This window comes from Homo sapiens, chromosome 20, assembly GCF_000001405.40.
Source record: "Homo sapiens chromosome 20, GRCh38.p14 Primary Assembly".
Classification (NCBI taxonomy): Eukaryota; Metazoa; Chordata; class Mammalia; order Primates; family Hominidae; genus Homo; species Homo sapiens.
The window spans coordinates 34756192-34781835 of record NC_000020.11 but is presented as its reverse complement, the minus strand read 5'-3'; the positions used below and the strand labels follow the sequence as shown (position 1 = coordinate 34781835).

The following is a 25644-nucleotide window of genomic DNA, read 5'->3' as shown; positions in this document are numbered from 1 at the left end:
TGGTTTTCATTTTCCTTACCTGTAAATTGAAAAGGTTAAACTGAATCTTTAAGGACCCTTAAAGCTTAGAAAACTTATTATTCCATGAATCTGCTTATAATATACTTTAAATTTATTCCTTTAACTTTTATGTCAGAAGTCACTAGCTAACAGCTTGCTGGATCCAGTCTGCAGGCATTTGTTATTTGGCCCACGTTAGTGTTTGAGATTTAGTTTGTTTTCAGTGTTTGAGTTTCATTGCCAGTGCTTTAAAAATTGAGTTATATTGCATGAAAATCCGGATTTTTACATTTGTCTTTAAAAATAGGAAGATCTGATAACATTGAGTTCTCCCTCTCTCCCAGATGGTACGAAGTAGCAGCTGCTTCTGAGAGCAGCCCCACTTCACCACAGTTCCCATCTGGCTTCTTCACACATTTAGATTACCTGTCCATATCTTACGGGCATTTGTGGTTTTGAACCTTGATTTAGATGTTCTCTATTCTAGTTAGCACAATTATCTAATCCCTTCGGACATAGTGAAAAGCCTAGATTTATTCCTTTTATCACAAATCCTAAATTGATCAAGAGCTAATTAGCTTTCTTTTAAGGCTTGGGGGTTTTATCTTTTGAGATTTGTTATCTGGACGGAAGCTGTTGTTTTTTCAACTGCTTTTCACTGTGTTGTACAAGGTTCTCCATAGTTATGCGTTATTTAGCATACAATTAAGAATTTTTCATGTAGTTATCAACATCATTGTAACCATAATCATAGTTATATATTATAAAGGTCTTGCTGGGCCTGAAATTGTTCATTGCTCTTCATTAATTACCACATTTTTCTGTTGTTTACATATTGCTAATTCAATTTATTTATGGCTTTCAAATAAATTACCAAACCTAGGCCAGGCACAGTAGTTCATGCCTGTAATCCCAGCACTTTGGGAGATTGAGTTGGGTGGATCACTTGAACCCAGGAGTTCAAGACCAACCTGGACAATATAGAGAGACCTCATCTCTACAGAAAATACAAAAATTAGTTGGGTATGTTGGCATGCACCTGTAGTCCCAGCTACTCGAGAGGCTGAGGTGGGAGGATCACTTGAGCCCAGGGAGGTCAAAGCTGCAGTGAGCTCTAATAGTGCCCCTGCACTCCAGCCTGTGTGACAGAGTGAGACCCTGTCTAAAAAAAATAAATAATAAATAAAGGTGGGCGCAGTGGCTCATGCCTGTAATCCCAGCACTTTGGGAGGTCGAGGTGGGCGGATCACTTGAGGCCAGGAGTTTGAGACAAGCCCGGCCAACATGGTGAAACCTTGTCTACTAAAAATACAAAAATTAGTCAGGCGTGCTGGCAGGTGCCTGTAATCCCAGCTACTCGGGTGGCTGAGGCATTGCTTGAACCTGGGAGGTAGAGGTTGCAGTGAGCCGAGATCATGCCACTGCACTCCAGCCTGAGTGACAGAGCGAGACTCTGTCTCAAAAAAATAAAAATAAATAAAAAATAACCAACTCTAGATTTATGGTGCTATCAGATTATATTCTTGGTCCAAAAAATATTTTAAGTCAAATCTCTCAAATATGGAAGTTTAAAAAGATTTTGATAAGATATAACTGTTATGAATATGGATTTTTCTGCAAGCATATTACAAGTGTTAATACCATAAGCAAATTTGATGTTTGTGTAGAATATGTACAAGATTCCAACATACTTCAGAGTGGGAAGAAGTCCTGCAGTGTCTATGATTGGTGGAACCAGGATCCCCAAACTTCCTGCCTTTTGCTGTTTGGAGGCCTACATGTAATGGAAAGGAAATTGCCCTGAGAATCAGAGCTGGGTTTTAATGTCATCTCTGATGCTACTGGTTAGCCACAGGCTTCTGAGCAAATCACTTAGCCTTTCTGGGCCTTGGTTTCCTCTCCTGTAAAATGGTCTTGGACTAAATATTGTCTAATCTTTTCTAAATTCCTATGATTGTGTTATCTCATTCCTTTTAGCAAGTTTTCCCTGTTTTTTTTTCCACATTAGAACAAGTGAACTCCATGTCTGGAAAAGTTAACATTCAATGTACAATGGTTTAAGAGCTGGAAGGGGCTTTAGGCAACATGTAGGCACTTTCCTCTATCCTTAGATATTTCTCATTTTGAGAAAGCATATTCCTCTATGACCATTATCTCTTTTTTCCTTCTTTTCACAGGTGTTGAATGACCATTATCTTAATATTAGAATGTATAACTGAATGAAGGATACAGAAGTTTAAGTTTAGCTGAGTTAATAACAAAAGAGAAAATTGTTTTGCCTGAGGTTGTTGAATAACTTTTTTTATTTTTTATTTATTTTTTGAGGCAGTGTCTCACCCCATCACCCAGGCTGGAATGCAGTGGCATGATCTCAGCTCACTGCAGCCTTGATCTCCCAGGCTCAAGCAATTCTCCCACCTCAGCTTCCCAAGTAGCTGGGACTACAGGCGCACGCCACTGCACCCAGCTAATTTTCTGTTTATTTTTTGTAGAGATGAGGTCTCACTATGTTGCCCAGGGTGATCTCAAACTCCTGAGCTCAAGTGATCTGCCCGCCTCGGCCTCCCAAAGTGCTGGGATTACGGACATGCGCCACTGCACGCAGCCAAATAACTTTTTTATCAGCTAACTGTGCCTGGGATTTGCTTTCCAATCTGTAAAATGTAACTACAATTAATAATACCTCCTCAATTACTTAACTTTTTTAAAAAGTATTTTTTATTGTATAATACATGTAACATAAAATTTACCATGTTAACCATTATTAAGTATACAGTTTAGTGGAAATTAAATGTACTCATAATGTTGTGCAACAATCACCACCATGTGTCGCCCTAAGTCTTGTCTTGTCTTTTTTTTTTTTTTTTTTTTTTTTTTGAAACGGAGTCTTGCTCTGTCACCCAGGCTGGAGTGCAGTGGTGCGATCTCGGCTCTCTGCAAGCTCCGTCTCCCGGGTTCACGCCATTCTCCTGCTTCAGCCTCCCAAGTAGCTGGGACTACAGGCGCCCGCCACCACACCAGGCTAATTTTTTGTATTTTTTAGTAGAGATGGGGTTTCACCGTGTTAGCCAGGATGTAACTCTTTTCATCTTGTAAAATTAAACATCTCTGGCTGGGTGTGGTGGCTCATGCCTGCAATCCCAGCACTTTGGGAGGCCGAGGCAGGTGGATCACAAGGTCAAGAGATCAAGACCATCCTGGCCAACATGGTGAAACCCCGTCTCTACTAAAAATACAAAAATTAGCCGGGCATGGTGGCAGGTGTCTATAGTCCCAGCTACTCGGGAGGCTGAGGCAGGAGAATTGCTTGAAGCCGGGAGGCAGAGGTTGCAGCGAGCCAAGATTGCGCCACTGCACTCCAGCCTGGCGACAGATTGAGACTCCGTCTCAAAAAAAAAAAAAAATTGAACGTCTCTAACCATTGAATAACAACTCACCATTTCCTCCTTGCTGCTAGTCCCTGGAAACCACCATTCTACTATCTGTTTCTATGATTTTGGACTACTCTACTTCCTTGATATAAGTGGAATTTTGCCTTTTTGTGACTGGCTTATTTCGCTTAGCGTAAGATGCTCAAAGCCCATTCATGTGGCAGGATATCCTTCCTTTTTAAGGCTTAATAATATTCCATTGTGGCTGGGCGCAGTGGCTCACGCCTGTAATCCCAGCACTTCGGGAGGCCGAGGCGGGCGATCATGAGGTCAGGAGATCAAGACCATCCTGGCCAACATGGTGAAACCCTGTGTCTACTAAAAATACAAAAATTAGCTGGGCGTGGTGGCATGCACCTGTAGTCCCAGCTCAGGATGCTGAGGCAGGAGAATTGCTCGAACCTGGGAGGCGGAGGTTGCAGTGAGCCAAGATCATGCCATTGCACTCCAGCCTGGTGACAGAGCAAGATTCCGTCTCAAATAATAATATAATAATATTCCATTGTATGTATATACCATATTTTACTGATTCATTCATCTGTCAGTAGACATTGGGTTGCTTCCATATCTTAGCTATTGTGGGTAATGCTGCTATGAATATGGTGTACAAATATCTCTTTGAGACTCTGCTTTCAGTTCATTTGAGTGTGTACTCCGAGGTAGAATTGCTGCATCATGTGGTAATTCTATTTTTAATTTTTTTTGAGAAACTGTCGTTTTCCGCAGCAGCTTGTATCCTTTTACATTCCCACTGACAGTGCGCAAGGGTTCCAGTTTCTTTTTTTTTTTTGAGACGGAGTCTTGTTCTGTCACCCAGGCTGGAGTGCAGTAGTGCATTCTGGGCTCACAGCAACCTCCGCCTCCTGGGTTCAAGCGATTCTCTGGCCTCAGCCTCCTGAGTAGCTGGGACTACAGGTGTGCACCACCATGCCTGGCTAATTTTTGTATTTTTAGTAGAGACGGGGTTTTGCCATGTTGGCCAGGCTGATCTCGAACTCCTGTCCTCAAGTGATCCACCAGCCTCAGCCTCCCAAAGTGCTGGGATTATTGGGATTATAGGTGTGAGCCACCGTGCCCCGCAGGTTCTATTTCTCCGTATCTTCACCATTGTTTATTTTCTGTGGTTTTGATAGTAGCCATGGTAATGGTGGTGAGGTGGTATCTTATCATTATGATTTGCATTTCTCTAATGATTAGTTATGTCAAGCATTTTTTCATGTGCTTATTGGCCATTTGTGTATCTTTTCTGGAGAACTGTCCTTTACCTTTTTTTTTTTTTTTTTTTTTTGAGACGGAGTCTCACTTTGTTGCCCAGGCTGGAGTGCAGTGGCGCAGTCTTGGCTCACCACAACCTCTGCCTCCCGGGTTCAAGCAATTCTCCTGCCTCAGCCTCCCGAGTAGCTGGGACTACAGGTGCATGCCACCATGCCCAGCAAATTTTTATATTTTTAGTAGAGACGGGGTTTCATTATGTTGGCTGGGCTATTCTTGAACTCCTGACCTCGTGATCCACCTGCCTCGGCCTCCCGAAGTGCTGGGATTATAGGCATGAGCCTATTCTATTAATTTAAACTTAACCTCTCTCTTCTTTCTTATGGTCCTTTCTCCATCTTACGGCTTTCCGTTCATTGCCTGTGGTGTGCCAGGTACTATGCTAGATTTTTTGCATATATTATCTAATTTGTACCCAAAAATCATATGAAGTAGTTTTTTCATAGTTTTAGAAAAGAAAAAGATAAGTTTCAGAAAGGTTAAATAGCTCGTTCATGGTCACCCAGGTGCTAAGTGGCAAAGCTAGGATTAGATTTGAGTCTGTAGCTCCAAAGCATATGCTCTGTTAGCTATTCCAAGCTGGTGCTCCACCTTATTCTTTTGCTCTTTTGGTTTGTTTTTTAATTCCATCTCCTCTGGTGGCTAAAAGATTATTAATATAATTCTTTTTCTTTCACAATCAAGAGTCCAGCAAGCTAAAAGTACAGAAGGTGGAGCCCTGGAACAGCGTGCGTGTGACATTCAACATCCCCCGGGAAGCAGCGGAGCGGCTACGGATCCTTGCTCAGAGCAACAACCAGCAGCTTCGGGATTTAGGGATTCTCTCCGTTCAGATTGAAGGTCTTTTACTTTGCCATGTGCCCATCTAGACCAGAATCATTACAACAGTAGAATATAGCATGATTTTCTGTGCTGCTTTGTCTGTTCCTCTGCTCTTGTGTTTCAGAATGCCAAGCAACTCATGTAACTTGTACTTTGCTTTGCAGCACCTTAGGATGAAGAGGGACTGACTGAGGTTATTGCTGGGTCCTGATGGTCTTTAGCATCTGTAGCCTTGGACTCCATTCCTTTGGCTAATTTTGACCATCAGTCTTTCAGACTTTGATTTTATTGGCATCCTGACCAGGAATTGATTTGTCTTATTTATTTATTTAGTTGTGTGGTTTTCTTTGTTATTGTTGTTATTTTTAGAGACAGTGTCTTTCTGTGTTGCCCAGGCTGGACTCAAACTCTTGGCCTCAGATGATCCTCCCATCTCAGCCTCCTGAGTAGCTGGGACTACACCTATACCACTGTACCCAGCTTAACATATAATTTAATTTGCTTCCTTCCTTCCACCAAATAAACTTTAGTATTTTCTTTATTCGTCTAACAGATTATGAAGCCTTCAACAGTCCTTTCCTTTTGTAGCAGCATTCATTTTCTTTTCTTTTTTTTTTCTTTTTTTTTTTTTTTTTTTTGAGACAGAGTCCCAGGATGGAGTGTAGTGGCATGATCTCAGCTCACTGCAACCTCCACCTCCCAGGTTCAAGTGATTCTCCTGCCTCAGCCTCCTGAGTAGCTGGTATTACAGGCATGTACTACCATGCCCAGCTAATTTTTGTATTTTTAGTAGAGATGGGGTTTCACCGTCTTGGCCAGGCTGGTCTCAAACTTCTGACCTCAGGTGATCCACCCTCTCGGCCTCCCAAAGTGCTGGGATTACAGGCCATCACGCCGGCCCGCAGTGTTCATTTTCAGTATTTTTACCAGAATGATCTTTTTCAAAATGAGAATTTGATGAGCACGTGCACGCACGCACAGACACACACACACACACACACACACCTACACCCCTATAACCCTACACCCCTAGATTAAAATCCTGCTATCTCTTGGTATTATTCAAAGAATGAAGACCAAACTCCTTACCATGACCTCAGGCTTTGCATGGTCTCACCTCTACCTTCCTCATCCAGCCTTATCTTGTGTAACTTTCCTCCCTTGCCCCCTGTGTTCCAGCTTCTCAGCTTTCTCTTCCTCCTGCCACAGGTCCTTTGCATTGATGTCTTCTCTAAATGAAATACTATTCCCTACCAACCCCCTTCCCCTAGTTCATGCCTGCTCAGCCTTCAAGTATCAGCTTAAATCTTGAGGATGTATTTTCTGAACTCCTTTGGCAAGTCAGAGTCCTTTGCTATGTGCTCTCACAAAAGTTTGTTTCTCTCCCTCAGATCATTTATCTCACACTTTCATAGAGCAATTATTTGATTATTGTTTTATCCCCATAGACTATAAGCTTTAGCATTTGGAATACAATGATAAATATTGTCCTTATTGTTATAAACTCGGAAGAGCTTATGACTTTAGTAAGGAAGACAAACCTGTGAGAGATGTAAGTACCTACCATGTGTGGGGGAGCTCTTTGGAAGCTCAGTGAACTAGAACCCTCTCTTCCCCTCCTGTGTTGATACAGCCAGGTGACAACCAGCAATTCCAGCTTTCCCTTCCACTTTAGTCCAGGTCCTCCTGGCCCTGTGCTTACGTAGAACCTAATTGCTCCATGAAACCTGAGCAGTCGAGGTCATTTTGTTTATAGGAGTGAGACACATTTTATGCAGTCTAGCATTGTAGGTTGCTGTGCCCTCAAAGGGGCAATACCAACAAACAAATTATTTAGAAAGGGTTATATGTAGATTGAGAAATGGGATAATTTTCACCATTTGATAAATGAGAGAATAGTGGCTTAAGCAATACCACTTTAATTTGAAAAATGTGGAACTATCTAAAAGGATCCAGAAAAGTACAATTAATTCACAGCAATCTGTAGGATGAACTATTAGGAAAAGTGGAAGTCGAACAACTATTGGATAAAATAACAATATGTGGGCTGTTTATACTTTAAGGAATACATAAGTGGTTTCTTTAAAACCCCACATGTTTTTTGGTCTCTGTTACCTATTTAAAGGCTTCAAAACCTTAATTGATAGTGTTTTTCACTGGAGAAAGAAGTACCAGTTTTATTTCTTAAGCAGACCTACTTCCTAAAACAATATAATGCTGGTTCTCCCTTAACATTATAGCCATAAATTTAAACATGAGTACTAGCAAGGAAGCAAATAGATAACATATTTTAAGAAATTATGAAATTCACATATGACAATGATTATCACAATACAGAAAGAGTTCTTTAACTTTTAGGCTACATGTGTGTCCCAGATGATCTCTGTTCCCATGCTCCTGGGAATTCAGCAGGAGTGAAAGTGATGGCAGCAGCTATTGCTTTTGTGGAACTGGGCTGTTGATTTTGTAAGTTGTAAGAAGAATGTTGGCCAGCCACGGTGGGTCACACCTGTAATCCCAACACTTTGGGAGGCCAAGGTGGGTGGATCACTTGAGGGGAGGAGTTTGAGACCAGCCTGGCCAACATGGTGAAACCCCGTCTCTACTAAAAATATAAAAATTAGCCGAGCATGGTGGGGCGTGCCTATAGTCCCAGCTACTCGGGAGGCTAAGGCAGGAGAATTGCTTGAACCCAGGAGGTGGAGGTTGCGGTGAGCCGAGATCATGCCACTGCACTCCAGCCTGGGTGTCGAGCAAAATTTTCCTGGGTGGAGGTTGCGGTGAGCCGAGATCACGCCACTGCACTCCAGCCTGGGCGACAAGAGCAAAATTTTGTCTCAAAACAACAACAACAAAAAAGAAGGAATGAAGCAATGTTGCCACTATCGTGTCTGCTGCAAGGCTTGAGGGACAGGTTCTCCCAACAGTCCGTTCTCCATTGACAAATACTTCCTGTACCCTTCCTTTTTTAAGTTTTGGCCAGGGAATTGGGGAAACATCTTTTTTGAGGACATTTTGTGCCCCCTCTGTAAATTCATGGTGATCTAAAGAGTAGTCTGCTAACTTTTTCTGTAAAGGGCCAAGAATAAATATTTTTGGCTTTGCAGGCCATAAGATCTCAACTCAACAAGTACTCAGTTCCATCTTGTAGGGCAAAAACAGCCATAGGCGATATGTAAACAAGTAAACATGGCAGGATTTCAGTAACACTTTATTTAAATAAACATGCAGTGGGCTGCATTTGGCCCACAGGACGTAGTTTGTGGACCCCTAATTGGCAAGTTTGGGAGCCGGTAGTGTTCTCTTTGACACAAATTAGCATATATGCAGTTGGTAAATAGGGGAATGATAGCAGTATAGTGTGGAAATTCTGTTTATTAATATGTGATTTTTTTTCTTAGGTAAGAGGAGCTGGAATAGTAGAAATAGAATTATAATTATCAACAAGAAAAAGCTTTTCACTCAGCTGTTGCATGTGTGGGAGTCTTTTCAGCTCTATTAAAATTAAGAATGAGAGTGTATATTCGTATGCCTTCCTGACGTGCATCCCCCAGCCTTGTGTGGCTCTCAGTTCATGACAGGTTGCATTTCTTCCTGTGCCCACCATAATGGCAGCCCCGCTGGCTCAGAACTCCACTACATGTGCATTATCTCAGCACCTTTAACCAGGCATTTCTGCTGCATTTTTTTCTGGCATTTTGCCTCCACCAGTTATTGTTTTTATTAGAGCTCTGGTTACAAAGTCTCACAGGTTTTCAGTTTGCCCTAACCCTGTTATTGTCAGTATGAGATTTGATAAATGTGAGGTTTTCCAGGAAGTAATTTGTCATATAGAAAAATGCTTATAATTCTTTATAAGGTTATAAGATGACCATTATATTTAATAAATAGCTAATGAGCATCTGCCACGTACCAGGCACTATTTTATGTATAAATGATGTATTATAGATAGTCATATAATTTATCATCTAAATTAGGACACTTTTTTTTTTTTTTTGAGACAAAGTCTCACTGTGTTGCCTAGGTTGGAGGGCAGTGGTACAAACACAACTCACTGTAGCCCCGGCCTCCTGGGCTTAAGCAATCCTCCCATCTCAGCCTCCTGAGTAGCTAGGACCACAGGTGCGTGCCACCACGGACCTGACTAATTTTTTATAGAGACGGGGTCTCACCATGTCGCTAGTCTTGAACTCCTGGTCTGAAGCAATCCTCCCACCTTGGCCTCCCAAAGTGCTGGGATTAACAAATGTGAGTCACCATGCCTAGCCTAAATTAGGACATTTCTGAAAGTGAAAGAGAATGCTATTAATTATGCTGGAACAACAGATGTGAAGGAACAAGGACAGACTTGTAATTAACCCTGTATAGTGATGGGGGAGGCAAGCAAGAAAACGAGTGAGTGAATGATTACATGGAATGTGCTCTGCAGAAATAACAAGATGTTCTGATAAAAGTTACCTAACCTTGGATAAGATGGTTGGTAGAGGCCTTTTTGGGCATGTGACACTTAAGATTACATGAAAATTGAGAAGCTAGCTATGCGAAGAGTGCAGAGAACTGTTCTAGGCAGAGGAAACCGCATGAGCAAAGGCCTTGGGGTGAGAAGCAGCCTTGTGTGCCTAAGAAACTAAAAGGAAACACTGGGGCTGAATCCTTGCTATTGAAGGAGAAAAATAGCATGAGATGAGTTTAAAGAGGTAGACAGGGCTAAATATGGGCAGTCCAATATTGGTAGCCACAGACTGTATGTTGCTTTTAGGCACTGAAAATGTGGCTAGTTAAAACTGACGTGCGCTGTAAGTATAAAATACATATTACATTTTGAAGATTTGGTATTCCCCAAAGGAATGTAAAATATCTCAATAATTCTTACATTGGCTGGGCTGAGTGGCTCACACCTGTAATCCCAGCACTTTGGAAGGCTGAGGCCAGGAGGATTGCTTGAGCACAGGAGTTTGAGACCAGCCTGAGCAATATAGTGATACCCTGTCTCTACAAAAAATTTAAAATTTAAAATAAAAAAATTAGCCAGGCATGTTGGCATACTCCTGTAGTCCCACCTACTTGGGAAGCTGATGTGGGAAGGATCACTTAAGCCCAGTTAGGTCAATGCTGCAGTGAACTGTGATCTCACCACTGCACTCCAGCCTGAGCAACAGAGTGAGACCCTGTTTCAAAAAATAATAATAATTTTTACATTAATTACATGTTGAAATAATACATTGAATGTATTAAGTAAAATAAATGATAATTTCATCTGTTTCTTACTGTGGCTTCTAGAAAATTTTAAATTGCATATGTGGCTCATATTATATTTCTGTTGAACAACACTTGGCTAGGTAGATAATTTAAGGCCTTGTATAGGCTAAGAAGTTTGGCCTGGCCTGGCACGGTGGCTCATGCCTGTAATCCCAGCACTTTGGGAGGCCAAGACAGGCGGATTGTCTGAGGTCAGGAATTCGAGACCAGTCTGGCCAACATGGTGAAACCCCGTTTCTACTAAAAATACAAAAATTAGCCGGGCGTGGTGGCAAGCACCTGTAATCCCAGCTACTCGGGAGGCTGAGGTAGGAGAATCGCTTGAACCCGGAGGCAGACGTTACAGTGATCCGAGATCGCGCCATTGCACTGCAGCCCAGGCAACAGTGAGACACTCCGATTCAAAAAAAAAAAAAGAAGTTTGGCCTTTATTTCTAAACTAGTGGGAAGCAATGGAACTGTTTTTAAGGAATGATACGAACTGATGTCCTTTTCCAGAACAATATTCTTTCTACTTAGAATGTCTTAACAAATTTTGTATATTAATAGTTCCCTTCCTTTAATGGAAACCCTCATGACCTGTATTCTGTTTCTCTTTTTACGCCTGACTTCTAGAGGCAAGCTATAGCATCTGGTAGCTCCCAGTGATTGCTTCCTTTTTGGTAGGCTGTTTGTTCCCTGTGACCAGTGAACCTCCCTGGTTAAAATAGACATAGAAAGCTGACCTAGCCAGGCATGGTGGCTCACGCCTGTAATCCCAGCACTTTGGGCGGATCACAAGGTCAAAAGATCGAGACCATCCTGGTAAACATGGTGAAACCCCGTCTCTACTAAAAATACAAAAATTAGCTGCTTGTATTGGCACGTGCCTGTAATCCCAGCTACTCGGGAGGCTGAGGCAGGAGAATCGCTTGAACCTGGGAGGTGGAGATGGCAGTGAGCCGAGATTGCACCACTGCGCTTCAGCCTGGCGACAGAGCGAGACTCCATCTCAAAAAAAAAAAAAAGGAAGGCTGACCTAGATCAGTGACAGAACAGAGGAAACTGCCATACCTCATTAACTTTCTGTTTTACCATCAGACCCTGTGAATCAGAACCCTACAGTTTAGAAGGACTTGGGTGAGTGCAGCCTTTCAGCTCAGCAGCCACAGACTAGCTATATTTTAACTCTCCACAAGGTGGTGCTCTCTTACAATAACAATAGTCAAAATTTTGGATTAAGTGCAAGAAACATTCTGTTGCTTGTTTCAGAGACGTTTTTATCATTGGACCAAGTAAGATTTAAGTTGCCTCTAAGTTTAGAGTCTACTTAATTGGAACACTTCTAGTAACATTACCTATGAGGGTACTGTGAAGCTCAAATAAGGTAAAATTAAAAATCCTATGCAGGCTGGGCACCGTGGCTCACGCCTGTAATCCTAGCACTTTGGGAGGCCGAGGTGGGTGGATCACGTGAGGTCAGGAGTTCGAGACCAGCCTGGCCAACGTGGTGAAACCCCGTCTCTACTAAAAATGCAAAAATTAGCTGGGCGTGGTGGTGGGCGCCTGTAATCCCAGCTACTCGGAAGGCTGAGGTAGGAGAATCCCTTGAACCCAGGAGATGAAGGTTGCAGTGAGCCAAGATCACACCACTGCACTCTAGCCTGAGTGACAGAGCAAGACTCCATCTCAAAAAAAAAAAAAATCCTATACGTAGCCGGACATAGTGATGTGCGCCTGTGGTCCCAGCAACTCAGGAGGCTGAGGCAGCAGGACCCCTTGGGCCCAGGAATTTAAGGTAGTGGTGAGCTATATGACTGTGCCACTGCACTGCAGCCTGGGTGACAAAGTGAGACCCCATCTCAGAAAACAAAAACCTATAAAAGTATTGGTCCTGTCATTAGGTGTCTCAGAAAGTAGATTTGTAGCAACCTATCTCCTCTTCATTGCATGATTTTTTTCCTGCTGGAAATATGTTTATATTGCAGTTATTGAATGGAATTGGTATTTTGTTCACAAGTGTTAGTGTCCCCACACCAGTATAGGTTCTTTCTTCTTTAAACCTACTTATATTTAGTGTCTACCTTCTGATCATAAATTACCAAAAGGAAGTCTAGGATTTTGAGAGTTTTTGAGAACATTTTCTTCCATTACACACACACACACCCCACACACACACACAATTGGTAAGATGGTTGAAAATAAATATTCAGAGTTCCAGGATCTCTGTTGATACTAAGCATCATTCATGGTCACCCTGCTTCCCTATTACAAGTAAGAATTGGTTATATCTCCTTGTGCTTCATGAAACCTGCTTAGATGGGTTGAAGAAAGACCCATCTACATTGAACCCACCATTTTTCTGGTGGTAAACTAACCATAATTCTTCAAAAGCACAGAAAACTAAAGCACTTATATAGCTGTCTATAAACAAAATTTGCATTTTATTCTAATGATTTCCTTTTTATCACTTGACTCATTTTCAGGGGAAGGTGCTATTAACCTGGCTTTGGCTCAGAACCGAAGCCAAGATGTGAGAATGAATGGACCCATGGGAGCTGGAAATTCAGTTAGGATGGAGGCGGGATTTCCTATGGCAAGTGGTCCAGGTAAGACCTCCCACTCAATTGTATGACATTTTACTAGTTTCCTTTTTTGGCTTATTTGATCATTTGAGCCCTGCAAGATAGGTGGGGGTTCATGGCATACTTAACATCTCTATTTGCTGAATCAGGAAAGCTAGACATGAGTCCTTCCCGGAGGCTAGAGGTCACAGCATGAAGCATCTTTGCAATCTTTTGGTCTCGTGCTTAAAGGTTGATGAACACTGAGCCATGCAGCAAACATTTATTGACTTCCTGTTGTGTGACATGACCTGTGCTGTTGGAAATAGAAATAAGTGAGACATTTTCTACCCTCATTATTTTAATAGTACAATGGAGAATGTAGCTTTCCAACTCCCACTTTCTCTGAGGCAGAGAATATCTGTGAATTGAGTTCTTGTGTGCTTATGTGGAATCTGAAGATGTATCTGAGAGAATATGTGTTTTTATGTATTTAGAATTTGAGAGTTATAAATTGCTTCCTTTTCTAGTAATCCTGAAATTTCTTCTTCAGAGATTGAACTCAATATTCTGAGATTGAATCTCAGAATATTAGAATTGAGTTGGCTGTCATTTAAAGCAGAGGAAGCTGTGGAACTCACATAAAGGAAGTGATTTGCCCAGGGTCAAGGAGCGATAAACTAGTATCACAGATCTTCTAACTCCCAGTTCAGTGCTTTTTTCACTGCACTAGTGGCTTTCCAATTTTTTCAGCTTCAGGACCCTTTATTCAAATAAAACAGAAAAGCACAGCTGCTGTGGTTGAAGCAGAGTAAGAACCTGCTTACCCAGTCATTCCCCTCCCACTCTACCAGAGTAGCTGTTGGAGAAATGCAGCAGTATAGAGGAGCTCAATTTATAAGATGCTAGTCTTGGCCGGGCACGATTGGTCATGCCTGTAGTCTCAGCACTTTGGGAGGCCGAGGCAGGTGGATCACCTGAGGTCAGGGGTTCGAGACCAGCCTGGCCAAGATGGTGAAACCCCATCTCTACTAAAAATACAAAAATTAGCTAGGTGTGGTGGCAGGCGCCTGTAATCCCAGCTACTTGAGAAGCTGAGGCAGGAGAACCAGTTGAACCTGGGAGGTGGAGGTTGCAGTGAGCCGAGATCGCACCCTGCACTCCAGCCTGGGCAACAGAGTGAGACTCTATCTCAAAACAAAACAAAAAAAATGCTATTCTGAACTGTAGCTAATGAACTGATCATAGAATTGGAACTAGGTTTTCATTCTGGTACTACCATTTACAGGTTACCTCAAGCTAGTTACTGTACTTCCCCAAGCAATACTTTCTTCACATATAAAATGAAATAATAATACCTACCATCTTTTGAGCTCATGCTTGAAGGTAGAAGAGCCCTGAGCAGTGTAGCAAACATTTCCTAAGTTCTTGTTAGGACTTAGGAAAATATATATGTCAGGACCTGTGCTGTTGGGCTGTTGTGGAATACCATAAAATAGATGTAAAATATCCAGCCTGGTATTGTGTACATAGATGTAGTTCCCCACAGAAGTCTGAGCATTTGGTGTTAAGGTAGCTTTATGAGAAATGATAGATGACACTGTTGCCACTACTGGAAGGACATGGGCCAGAAGCAGAGTGGGAAAAGCCTAGCCAAGTTAGATATAGTTAATGAAAGAATGAATAAACCTGGGATGAGCATCAGGAAATCTGGGTTCTAATCTCAACTCCTGGCCAAAGGACTTAATATGTACTGACTCTAGTTGCCTATAAACATCTTTATGTTCTGGAAACAATGCTAGAGATCCCTTCTAGGCTTAAAATGTTAAGACGCCACTTAACTGTTATTAGTACCCTAATTAAAAGCTCTCTTGGGCTAGTATCTGGCAAATAGCAAGCATGTTTACTAAGTATCTCTAAGAAGTGCATGTAAATTATAGTGCTTTTTTTTTGAGACAGGGTCAAGTGTTCCTCCTGTCTCAGCCCTGCAGTAGCTGGGACTACAGGCGTGCACTACCACACCCGGCTTATTTTTGTTTTGTTTTGTATTGTTTTTTGTAGAGACAGGGTTTTGCCATGTTGACCAGGCTGGTTGAACTCCTGGGCTCAAGTGATCTGCCCACCTCAGCCTCCCAAAGTGCTGGGATTACAGGCATGAACTGAGCCACCGTACCCAGCCAATTATAGTGCTATAGTTGATTATCAACCTAGGAAACTGAGAAGCTTTAGGTTGAAATCAGATTAGATTGGTATTTAATGAAGGACTCAGATTGTGATAATGTATATAGTATAAAGTTTCAGGAATAATCAATTAGTAATGACCTGTAGTAACAGTAACATCTTAACCCCCAAGATATCTCTCTTTACTGCCAAGCATATTTTAGGATTGCTTTTCTCTGTTGTCTATTGAGACTTGAAGGATGCAAACAAAGTTTAATATTAGGTTAAACTGAACAGCTAAATTTTTCTAGGGAAAGAGACCTTAAATCCCCTCTAAAACAATAATAAGTAACTTTAGAACTGTGTATCTACAACAGTTGGTTTTTCAATTATTCTTAGTACTGCTTTCTTCTCTTAGCATGGGCAACAGAAAGTTAGCTAATAAGCAAGAGTCTTTTGCAACTAAAACTAAATCCATAGCCTGTTTTTTTTCATAGCCTTATAGAATTCCAAGATTTGTGGGGATACTATAGTAGTCATTTAATTCAAGTTTCTCAACTTCAACACTATTGATGTTTGGGGCCAATAATTTTTTGCTGTGGGAGGCTGTCCTGTGTGTTGTGGGATGTTTAGTAGCATCCCTGGCTTCTACCCACCAGATGCCAGTAGCACCACTACTTCCCTGCATTTGTGCCACTTAAAATGTCTCCAGACATTACCAAATGTCCCCCAGGGGACAAAATTTCCCCTAGGTGAGAACCTTGGATCTTGTGCAGATTCCCATCTAGTACTGGAATGCATGTTATAGTGTCACTATTGAACATGTAGTCAGCATATACTTGAAATTTTCTGGGATTAGGAAGCTCATTATGGACCAAGAAGACCTGTTTCTTTTTTTTTTTTTTTTTTGAGACGGACTCTCGCTCTGTCGCCTAGGCTGGAATGCAGTGGCACGATCTCGGCTCGGCTCACTGCAAGCTCTGCCTCCCAGGTTCACGCCATTCTCCTGCCTCAGCCTCCCATGCCACCATGCCTGGCTAATTTTTTTTTTTGTATTTTTAGTAGAGACGAGGGTTCACTGTGTTAGCCAGGATGGTCTCGATCTCCTGACCTTGTGATCCACCTGTCTCGGCCTCCCAAAGTGCTGGGATTACAGGTGTGAGCCATCGCGCCCAGCCAAAAACCTGTTTCTTATCTCATGAGAGCTTTCTCTTTTTTTTTTTTTCTTGTGAAGCAGTCTCACTCCATCACCCAGGCTGGAGTACTGTGGCATGATCTCAGCTCACTGCAACCTGTACCTCCTGGATTCAAGCGATGTCTCACCTCAGCCTCACGAGTGACTAGGATTACAGGCAGGTGCCACTATGCCCAGCTAATTGGCTAATTTTTGTATTTTTAGTAGAGATGGGGTTTCACCATGTTGGCCAGGCTGGTCTTGAACTCCTGCTCTGAGGTGATCCACCCACCTGGGCCTCACAAAGTGCTGAGATTACAGGTGTGAGCCACCGCACCAAGCCCTCATGAGAGCTTTCTTAACTGTCTAACTACCATCTTTAAAAAACCAGGTGCGATTCCTCAGAAACAGATCCAGTTTCAACAGATAAACATTAGCCTAACTGTCCTCTCCAACTACAAAACTTAAAATATAACTTTTTTTTTTTTTTGAGACAGAGTCTCGCTCTGTCACCCAAGCTGGAGTGCAGTTGCGCGATCTTGGCTCACTGCGAGCTCTGCCTCCCAAGTTCAAGCAGTTCTCTGCCTCACCCTCCCTAGTAGCTGGGATTACAGGTGCCCACCACCATGTCTGGCTAATTTTTGTATTTTTAGTAGTTTCACCATCTTGGCCAGGCTGGTCTCGAACTCCTGACCTCAAGTGATCCACGCGTCTCAGCCTCCCAAAGTGCTGGAATTACAGGCGTGAGCCACCGCGTCCGGCCTATAACATTTAATACGTAGCTGGGCAGCCGGGCGCTGTGGCTGACACCCGTAATCCCAGCACTTTGGGAGGCCAAGGTGAGCAGATCACAAGGTCAGGAGATGGAGACCATCCTGGCTAACATGGTGAAACCCTGTCTCTACTAAAAATACAAAAAATTAGCCGGGTGTGGTGGCGGACGCCTGTAGTCCCAGCTGCTCAGGAGGCTGAGGCAGGAGAATGGCATGAACCTGGGAGGCGGAGCTTGCAGTGAGCCGAGATCGCGCCACTGCACTCCAGCCTGGGTGACATAGCAAGACTCCCTCTCAAAAAACAAAAAAAAAAAATGTAGCTGGGCTTGGAAGCAGAGGGATGGGGAAAGAAAGTAGAGGAACTCCCTAGGGCAAAAAAAAAAAAAAAAAAATGTCAAAGGTGAATATTTAAACGGCAGTAAACAAATGAGATTCTGCAGGGTCCAAAGCATTTGGGTTTTAATGGCCGGGAAGGGATAGAAGATAAAGCCTTGGGTCAACAGGAAGAAGCAAGTTAGAATTCAGAATTCTTCATGAAGCCAGAATTTTCAGTGAAAGATAGATTAGGAAAATGTCACTCTCTGGCATAGGGAAATTAATGGGAAATTTGTCTGTGTTCGCTGGGGCTCTAGACGTTAGGTGGGAGAATGGGTGTTGTGGAATTGTCTTCTCTACCCTCTTGCATTTTGGACATTTGATATGTTAGTGAATACCCATTAATAGCCAGGCTAAGTCATTAACATTAGGTAGGTCTAGACTGGTGATAACTGTTGAAGCTGTGGAGGGGCGTATTTTCTCAACCCAAGTCATTGCATACTTCTCCTAGTTAAAGCCTGATATAAATGAGCTTATATTCTGAATTTATACAATTTAGGATTAGATTCCCTCCCTCTAAAATTTTAGGTAATAGGAATGTCAGAGTATTAACAATTATGAGAATCATAAGAAAACAAGACACTATCAAACATAAGGAGAGATGGGGGGAACAGAACTTACAGAAATTTAAAAATCATCAAAGTGGATAACTTATTCAGCAAATTAGAAATAGGTGGATTGGAAGGTGAATTTGAATAAATCACTCAGGATGCGCAGAGAAAAAGAGATGGAAATATGAAAGAGGTCAAGAGACAAGAAGAATAAAATGAGAAGGTTTAACATATGTTTGAAAAGAGTTCCTGAAGAAGATAAAGAAATTGAGGAGGGATGACAGTCAAAGAAAGAATGGCTAAAATTTTTTCCAGAATGGATGAAAGACGTAAGTCCTCAGATTCAGAAGCCCAGTATTCCTGAGCACTACAAAATAAAAATAAAACTACATCTAGACACAATATTGTAAAGCTACAGAACATTGAAAAACAGAATGTTAAAAGCAACCCAAAAGAAAAGACGTATTATTTACAAAGGAAAGACTATCAGCTTTTCTTGATTTCTCAACAGCAGCATTGGAGGCCAGGAAGCATTGGAATAATTTTTTCAAAGTGCTGAGGATATAATTGACAGCCTAGAATTTTAAACATAGCTATACTATCAAGAGTAGTATGAAATAAAGAGCTTTTCAAAGAGACTAAGAGAATTTACCATTAACAGACCCTTGCTAATTGAACTGCTCAAGGATGTACTTCAGGAAGAAGAAAATTGAACCTAAGATGGAAGAAATAAGATCTAAGAAGGAATGGTGAGCTAAATAATTGATAAGCATGGGGTAAATCTAAATAAGCATTGACTTATTTAGTAATAATGATGATCATATATGTCTTTAAACTTTAAGTCAGGTATGTCTGCTGACATTTTAAAGATACCAGTAAAATAATATGAATGGAATATATAACTTCTAAACTAGTAGTGGAGGATTAAAGAGGATGACCATGATGAAAAAAAATTAATCCAGTAAAATTCAGGAAAATAGGAAAACAGAATAGAAAAAAAGGGTAAATAGAAATCATAAAATGACAAAAAAATCAAAATATACTAGTAAACAATAAAGGTAAATGGATTATGAACACTGATAAAAAGGAAATGATTAATCAGAATAGTATTCTCAGGTTTACCTATGTGCTGTTACAGGAAACACATAAAATATAAGGACTCAGAAGGTTCAAAGTTAGAAAGATAGAAAGATTAACAAGGTGATTATTAACCAAGAAAAGCATAATAATATTTTTACCAGATAAAGCAGACATTAAAATAAACAGCATCACTGAAGGTATATAGGGCCACTATATAATGTAAAAGGAAAAATTCACCAGGAAGTTGCTAAACTCTTACGTATTTAACAACCTAGCCTCAAGACATTTAAGAATTGCATGTAAACAGCAAACCTTAGGGGAGATTTAATACACCTCTGTGAGTAATTGATGGCCAAGTTTGTAAAAAATTAGTAAGGATAAAGGAGAGCTTGAATAACAAAATACTTTTTATATAATGGACATATATAGAAACCATGCAGTCAGCCGGGCACGATAGCTCACGCCTGTAATCCCAGCACTTTGGGAGGCCGAGACAGGCAGATCACAAGGTCAGGAGTTCAAGACCAGCCTGGCCAACATAGTGAAACCCCGTCTCTACTAAAAATACAAAAATTAGCCAGGCATGGTGGCGTGTGCCTGTAGTCCTATCTACTCGGGAGGCTGAGGCAGGAGAATCACTTGAACCCAGGAGGCAGAGGTTGTGGTGAGTCAAGATTGCGCCACTGCACTCCAGCCTCGGCAACAGAGTGAGACTCCATCTCGGAGAAAAAAAACAAAACAAAACCATGCAGTCATAATTCAAGAATTCTTAATATTTCCAAGCATAAATGGAAAATTTATACAAACTGACCAAGGATTATTCCAAGAGCACGTTTCAGTAAATACCAAATATTAATATCACATAGATTCTGTTCTCTGACCATAGTGCTGTTAGGTTAAGTCAGTGGCAAAAAAAAAAAAGCATAACCAAAATATCTCATATTTTTGGAAACGTAAAAATGCATTATAAATACTTAGTGATTTAAAAAAGCAATCCTGATGGAAATTAGACAATATTTAGAATGGAATTATGAGAATAATATATACTGAAATGTGTGAGATGTAGCCAATACAACACTTCAAAGAAATGTTAAGCCTTCAGAAATTTATATTAAGAAAGAACACCAACTGAAAATTAACAAGCTAAGTGTCTGACTTAAGAATTGAGCAGAGCTGTAAGTTATGAGGGAAATAATACAGATAAGAATAGAGATAAGTAAAATATGAATCAAAAAAACAACAGAACAGCAAAACCAAAAGATTCTCCTGCCTCAGCCTCCTGAGTAGCTGGGATTACAGGCGCCCACCACCACGCCCAGCTAATTTTTGTATTTTTACTAGAGACAGGGGTTTTACCATGTTGGCCAGGCTGATCTCGAACCCCTGATCTCAAGTGATCTACCTGCCTCAGCCTCCCAAAGTGCTGGGATTACAGGTGTCAGCCACCGTGCCTGGCCCAAAAGATGTTTCTTTGAAAGGACAGCTAAAACTGATGAATGTGCTAAGACCACCAAGGAAAAAAAGAGGGCACAAACAATGTAAAGAATGAAAAAAGTACAAATTTTAAAAGGTGAATATTATAGTATATGAATTATATATCATTTTTTAAAAAGAATAGAAAAAATATATTCCACAATTAACTATGCTAATAAATTTTAGTGTTGGCAAAATTATAATTTAATAAAAATTGACAGTAAGACATTGAAAACTTGAAAAGTCTATAGCCATTTAAGAAATTGAAATAAAAATCTGTTTCCCTGTAAATCAATTAGTATGACCTATAGGCCCAGATGGTTTTACAGGAAAGTTTTCTCAGACATTTAAAGAACAGATACACACATTCTTCCAGAGCATAGAAAAAGAAGAAAGATGCTTTCCAACTCATTTTGAGGTTATTTTCACCTCGATGCCAAAAATCAAAATGTCACAAAATCTGCCCTTCAAGCTAAATGTCATCATTTTCTTTTTAGAATTTTTCATTGTTCTCTTATTCATACCTCAACATTCCTAAAAGTGTGCTTTGGCCAACTTAGTCCTGCAAGATGCTCCATGACAGAGAATTCTGTAGCCAAGGAAAGGAAAAGAGAATAAGTATAGGCGTTGTCACTTTTTTTTCTTGAAGACAGGCTCTTGCCCTGTTGCCTAGGCTGGAGAGCAGTGGCATGATCATAGCTCACTGCAGCCTCAAACTCTTGGGCTCAAGTGATCCTCCTGCCTTAGCTTCCTAAATAGCTAGGAATCCAGGCGCTTGCCACCACACTGGCTGATTTTTTTATTTTTTGTAGAGATGGGGTCTTTCTATGTTGCCCAGGCTGGTCTCAAACTCCTGGCCTCAAGCAGTCCTCCCACCTTGGCCTCCAAAAGCTCTGGGATTACAGGCATGAGCTACCATGCCTGACCTATTCTCACTTAGGAGCATAGATGATAAATTCTGAAAAGTTTAGCAGTATCAGAAATTTTCAGATATGGAGAAAGAGGAGTTCTCAAACTGCTAGTTTGAGTATAAATTGGTATAACCACTTTTGAGAGCAGTTTACCAATATCTAGTAAAATTAAAGATGCTTAGACTTTAAAACCTAGCAATTCTAAATATATAGTCTAAAGACACTCTCATGTATCCACAAGAATTCATGACAAATACACAACATTGCAAAATTATAAGAATAAAGGAAAAATAAAACCTTAGTATTCATCAGCAGAAGGGTGGATATATGCTTCTATACAATGGAACCCTTATAACAGTCAAGAGAGATGAATCTCAAAAAATACATTAAGTGAAAAAGGAAGCTGACAAAGAATGCATATAGTAAGGTGCCATTTATACAAAGATTAAAAGCATACAAAAAATGTTTATCTACAGAAAAAGTGCAGTTTACCTACAGATACAGAAAAGGTCAATAAACAAGAACAGAACTGTTAACCACAATTGCAATAAGAGGGAGGAAGTGGAATGGAAGGAGTAGGGGGCTTCTGCTGTATCTACATATATATCTGAAGGACATAAGAGCAAATTTTTTAAATTTTAAAAAGGTAGATGGTGGGTGTAGAAACTTCCAGGCCGGGTGCAGTAGCTCACGCCTGTAGTCCCAGCACTTTGGGAGGGCTGGGCTGGAGGATCGCTTGAGCCCAGGAATTTGAGACCAGCCTAGGCAACATAGCGACCCCATCTCTATAAAATATAGAACGATTAGCTGGGCACAGTGGTGTGTGCCTGTGGTCCCAGTGGCATGTGCCCATGGTCCCAGCTATTTGGGAGGCTGACTCAGAAGGATCACTTGGGCCCGGGAAGTCGAGATGGCAGTGAGCTGTGATTGTGCCACTTGGCAGACTGGGCAACAGAGCGAGACCCTGTCAAAAAAAAAAAAACAAATTTTCCATATCTTTTCATATTCTTGAAATAACTCATTAAAAAACAAAAATTGTGCCAATTCCAGTACTCTATTTTAGGGATCTTTTTTCTAGGAATAATAAGGATGAACAACCCTGCCACTGTTATGATACCCCCGGGTGGAAATGTGTCATCTTCCATGATGGCACCAGGCCCCAATCCAGAGCTGCAGCCCAGGACTCCTCGCCCTGCTTCTCAGTCAGGTAATGACTTCCAATCTTTGAGGATGAAGAGTCTGAAACTTTCTGCACAGATCATTATAAAATTCAGTTATCTCTGATGCTGAATTTCTAATTTCCAAACTCACAATGTCAACCTTCTTTACAAAATCTGACCTGATTTCTTCAAACTAAATGTCATTATTTTCTTTTCAGAATTTCTCATTGTTTTCTTATCAATTATACCCCAACATTTCTAAAAGTGTGCCTTGGCCTGCGTAGTCCTGCAAGATGCTCATTACATAGAATTCTGTAGTCAAGTAAATTTGGTAAATGCATCATTCTTTACCCTCCCTCCTGGAGATTCAAAAGTAACATATTGGAGGCACTGAAAGTCCTACAGTGAAGAAACGCATCTAAGTTTGTTAGGTTCAGTGTTTCCCAAACCTAATTGTTTTGTTTTCTTATAATGCTAATTAACATAGTTCTCCAGAATATGATTTGGTAAATACTGGTCTCCATGTTTTACACTTCGCTCTTAATGTCCACTACTGACCAAGCTCTTTTTAAGACAGAATTCATCATCTTGGTATGTTGCTTCATACATAGAAGGTATTCACAAGCATTTATTTTATCGAATAGTACCAGCAGATTTTGCTCTGTATATCCAGAATTACAAAGGCCACTTCTCTAAGATCTAGATTGCAGTAGGTTAATTATTGCTTTGTTGACTATCTTTAAACAGATGCAATGGATCCACTCCTCTCTGGGCTCCATATACAGCAGCAAAGTCATCCCTCAGGATCTTTAGCTCCCCCACATCACCCAATGCAGCCTGTCTCTGTGAACAGACAAATGAACCCAGCTAATTTTCCCCAGCTGCAGCAGCAGCAGCAACAACAACAACAGCAGCAGCAGCAGCAGCAGCAGCAACAACAGCAACAGCAGCAACAACAGTTGCAGGCAAGACCCCCACAGCAACATCAGCAGCAACAGCCACAGGGAATTCGACCCCAGTTTACTGCCCCAACTCAGGTGCCTGTTCCTCCAGGCTGGAACCAGCTGCCTTCTGGAGCCCTTCAACCTCCTCCAGCCCAGGGTTCTCTGGGCACAATGACTGCAAACCAAGGGTGGAAGAAGGCTCCCTTGCCCGGCCCAATGCAACAGCAACTCCAGGCAAGACCATCCTTAGCCACGGTACAGACGCCTTCCCACCCTCCCCCTCCATATCCCTTTGGCAGCCAGCAAGCCTCACAAGCCCACACAAACTTTCCTCAGATGAGCAACCCAGGCCAGTTCACAGCTCCTCAGATGAAGAGTTTGCAGGGAGGGCCCTCTAGGGTCCCAACTCCCTTGCAGCAGCCCCACCTCACCAACAAGTCTCCTGCCTCCTCACCCTCCTCCTTCCAGCAGGGATCCCCTGCATCCTCCCCAACGGTTAACCAAACTCAGCAGCAGATGGGACCAAGGCCACCTCAAAATAACCCACTTCCCCAGGGATTTCAGCAGCCTGTCAGCTCTCCGGGTCGGAATCCTATGGTTCAACAGGGAAATGTGCCACCTAACTTCATGGTGATGCAGCAGCAACCACCAAACCAGGGGCCACAGAGTTTACATCCAGGCCTAGGAGGTGAGGAACACTGTAGCTATTTGTGTTGGTAAATTTGCTGGAGCTAGATCTTAGTAGAACTTCAGTTTTTAGAGTTAATGGAGGGAGTGGAGTAAGGATATAATTATTTGGTTTTGTGGATATGGTGGTGACACTTGATATAACTTAAAGTTAACTTGATACGTTATGCAGCATCTTACTGGTTAAATTTAAGCTAGCTCTCTGGACTAAAATTCAGGTAAAATTCAATGTAGAGATGTTCATTTTGTTTTTCAAATTATTTTTGCTTGATCTTGTACTAGTAAATTAAAATGTCCAGAAGAAAAATGCATTTTGTTAACAATTTAAACTTCTCAGTTGCTGAAAAATTAAGATTATGCAATAGAGCAAAATAAAAAGAACAGGGTCTCATTGAAGAAAAGGCCCTTTTAGTTATCAATTTTGATAATCCTAGTTAATAAAATAGTAAGCATGGTACTTGTTAAGTTTGGTTAAAGTATTAAAGGGGAATAAGTTCAGAAATCATTGACTTTTATAGTTTTATAATGCCAATGCCTGCTCCTTAGAGAGGGAATTCCACCAGTTATACCTAAAGGAGATTTATTTATTTATTTTGTAAGGTGCCTCTTGTATGAAGAAAAAGCAATGGAGCTTAATGTGTGAGAGGTAAAACGATTACAGTAAAACTTATCCATCTCCATGTTTATTATTTATTCTTATTAATCATTGATCTAGTGCACATGAATGTGCTTGGAGCTTTTCAGTAAGGTATAGAGTATCAGTAATACTGTCATCTGATAAACATACTCCCCACCAAAAGACACCCATTGCCTACCCAGAAAAAACCCCTTGCATCTTTAGTGCAACATAGCAAAGGCATGTTCCCATGGTTTCTGATGAAGTTAAGTTGCTCATCAGCCTTTTACTCTCTTGTAATTAATTTTGCTGACATGCAGGCTCTAATATTTGAATTGTAAGAAGTTCTTAGAAAATGCAAGGATGTTTCAGCTCCAAATTTCACTGTTCTGGGTATCTACCCCAGATCAGTG

General features: G+C 41.2%; 1 protein-coding gene across 36 annotated transcripts in view; it reads left to right on the top strand.

Moving 5' to 3' along the window:
• Nucleotides 1-25644, top strand: part of NCOA6 (nuclear receptor coactivator 6) — a 110878-nt gene that overhangs the window by 43816 nt on the left and 41418 nt on the right. For 19 of the 36 annotated variants that reach the window (XM_047440066.1, XM_011528727.4, XM_047440065.1 and 16 more), the window contains 4 exons: nt 5388-5543; nt 13250-13372; nt 22888-23031; nt 23732-24616. In XM_047440066.1, the coding sequence (XP_047296022.1) occupies nt 5388-5543; nt 13250-13372; nt 22888-23031; nt 23732-24616 (1308 nt within the window). The remainder of the gene's footprint in view (nt 1-5387; nt 5544-13249; nt 13373-22887; nt 23032-23731; nt 24617-25644) is intronic. The other 17 variants (XM_047440068.1, XM_047440055.1, NM_001438234.1 and 14 more) reach the window with 1 other exon arrangement.